Source organism: Homo sapiens, chromosome 14, assembly GCF_000001405.40.
Source record: "Homo sapiens chromosome 14, GRCh38.p14 Primary Assembly".
Classification (NCBI taxonomy): domain Eukaryota; kingdom Metazoa; phylum Chordata; class Mammalia; order Primates; family Hominidae; genus Homo; species Homo sapiens.
The window spans coordinates 44,886,485-44,889,361 of NC_000014.9; the positions used below are offsets into that span (position 1 = coordinate 44,886,485).

At 46.9% G+C, this 2,877-nt stretch overlaps 2 pseudogenes; both read right to left on the reverse strand.

The window, feature by feature from the left end:
- On the reverse strand, nt 355–1,319 carry LOC401770 (DET1 and DDB1 associated 1 pseudogene; annotated as a pseudogene).
- Nucleotides 1,969–2,569, reverse strand: RRAGAP1 (Ras related GTP binding A pseudogene 1; annotated as a pseudogene).

Here is a 2,877-nt window from a genome sequence, read left to right on the forward strand (position 1 = left end):
TGTGTGGTTTTTAAGCCAGGAAACAACACAGTTATCTGAAAAATAATTTTAATACAGATTTCTAGACCCCACTAAAATCTACTGTTTCAGAATCTTTAGGGATAGGATCCTCACATCTGTGTTATTTAAAATTTCACAAATGATTCTGAAGCCCAGTCATTATGGATACTCACTAATGTTTTGGAAACTAGGAGTCCAAGATCAGAGTGCCAGCATGGTCAAGTTTTGGTGTGAGCCCTCTTCCAGGGTGCAGACTGATAACTTCTCCTTGTATCCTCCCTCACATGGTGGGAAAGGGACAGGAGAGCTCTCTGCCTCCCGCCATTTTTTTATGTTTTTTATTTTATTTTTTTCCAAGTAAGAAAGACCCTTTTATTGGGGTGGACACGGATCACCCACGAGTCTATGAAAAAGTGACTCAAGAGAAAGATCCCAAGGGCCGACTTCTCCCCAACATGCGCGCAAGCTCAGAGTGAGGTCTGGGCATGAGAGAGTTCCGGGCGGAACGTGGGACAAGACCGAGTCTCAAGGGCCTGGACCAGTGTCGGAGAGGGCTGCTTGGCTGTCCTGGTGGGTCGGCCGCCCTGGGCCGGCCCCTGCCGCCTGGCCACAGTAAAGCCTCGCTAGAGACCCTCACAGGCACGCTCTGGTTCTCTGGAGAACTGGGGGCGGGAGTGGGGAAACTGGCCAGGTGGAAGGCGGGGGTCGGGGGGACAATGTTTTTTTTAAAAAAGCATCTACCAACATCACACTACTGGGTCTGATGTCCCCTTTAACCAACGCTTGATACAGGTTACAGCATAAATAAAAACTCAAGAAAAATAAATACGTCGGCTCCTATGAGGTTGGAAATGGTGTGGACGCAGGGTGTGGATGGGCAGGCCAGGAGGCGGGTGAGTGGGCCACCGAGGAGCAGACCCGACAGGAGGCGCCTGTGGGGTTGAGAGTCTTAAGTGTCCTCCTGTATCTCTGGGCTGTGGGTCAGCGCCAACTTGCGGAGGGGCGCCGAGGTCTCGCCTTCCAGCTCCACTTGCTCCTGGTCTTCCTTCTTGGCAGCGTTCTTTTTGTCCATTGCTGATGCAGGTAGCGCAGGAGGATGTTTGTCTTTTCGGTCACGATGATCTGTTCAGACGGGTACTCTCGGGTGGGCAGGTAGACTGAGGGCCGTTGGTTCGAGGCTTTGCACACGGAGTCCCCGTGAAATCGACTAAAATTGCTTTTATTGTAGACAGGCAGTCCTTTCAAAAAATCTGCCATCTTCTGTTTCCTCCGTAGCCGCCTCAGCCGCCGCCTCAGCCTCCACCGCCGCCACCACAGCCCTGAGATCTCTTTTATAAAGACACTAATCCCATTTGTGAGGGCTTCACCCTCACGAACTAATAGCCTCCCGAAGACTCCACCTCCTAGTACCATCACATTGAGGATTTCAACATATGAATGGAGGTGGAGGGGACACAAACATTCAGTTCATAACACTTTTCTATCTACAAGAAGACAAACTCCAAATTCTAAAATGGCTTTCTCTTACTTGAATTGCAGGCCTGGATCTCTCTGTCTAGAGTCTTACAAAGGAAACAGGTAGGTTTTTGTACATTCCACCATTAAGCTGTTTCCCCCCAATAGAAAAATCAGTTAAATGTTTTAAAAAATACTTTTATAACATTTGTTGATTTTTTTTTTTTTTTTGAGACGGAGTCTCTCTCTGTCGCCCAGGCTGGAATGCAGTGGCTCCATCTCGGCTCACTGCAAGCTCCGCCTCCCGGGTTCACGCCATTCTCCTGCCTCAGCCTCCCAAGTAGCTGGGACTACAGGTGCCCGCCACCACGCCCGGCTAATTTTTTTGTCTTTTTAGTAGAGACAGGGTTTCACCGTGTTAGCCAGAATAGTCTCGATCTCCTGACCTTGTGATCCCCCCACCTCGGCCTCCCAAAGTGCTGGGATTACAGTCGTGAGCCACTGCGCCCGGCCTCAAAGTCCACTTTTAAGCACGCAATATTATGAATATTTAAAAGCACATATGCTCCCCAGAAAAGGCAATTCAGCATTTTCAGAAAGAGCATTTGGCAATATTCAACGCATAAAGAGACTGTGCTTGGGGCCATCCATTCTCCAGATTTTCAGTGTTTCCTGGTTTTTCGACTGTTGATCAGAGTAGCTACAGAAGGCATCTACGGATCTGACGTAACAACCGTCACCTAGATGTTTGATGTGAAGATGTCAATGAATGAGGTGAAGTTAGAATTCATAACTTCCATACTCCGGAAAGAAGGGACCAATTTATTGCAGCTCAGCTGAACTGCTTAATAATGTTGCTGATCTTCTCAAATCTGTGGCCATCGTGATGCTCTTTGCACTGGTAATGGGAAATAACCAAGAATGTAGCTCTTTCAAACAGTAGAACTTCATCGACTTCAAGAATTCGGGCAAAATTCCTTGTGTTCATCTTCAGTTGCTGAACATTGGGAATCAGCTGATAAGCAATACTGGACCAGGCTTTGTAGCGCTTTTCATCCCAGGTGGATGTTTGCAAATAAGCACACTCTAGTGGGTGAGACAAACAAATCAAGTCCAGGTATGGATGAGGCTCCATCCATACTGTTCAGATACTCTTGATCTGAAAACTTGTGAACTAGTGAGACAAGTTACTATCCCATACATGGCCAACATACAATGGTGGGACAGGAATAGAATAACTGCAATAAATATTTCCATTCAATAAAGGAGGAAAATAGGAAATCACCAATCCATTGAAATTCTAAAATCCAGTTGGGCATATTACTATTTTGCAGTTAGGCCTTATCCTGCTTTCTGAGAATGATTTTCTATGATTTTTGGCTCTTCCCTTTGGGATCTTGGTTTTGCCCTCTCAGACATTCT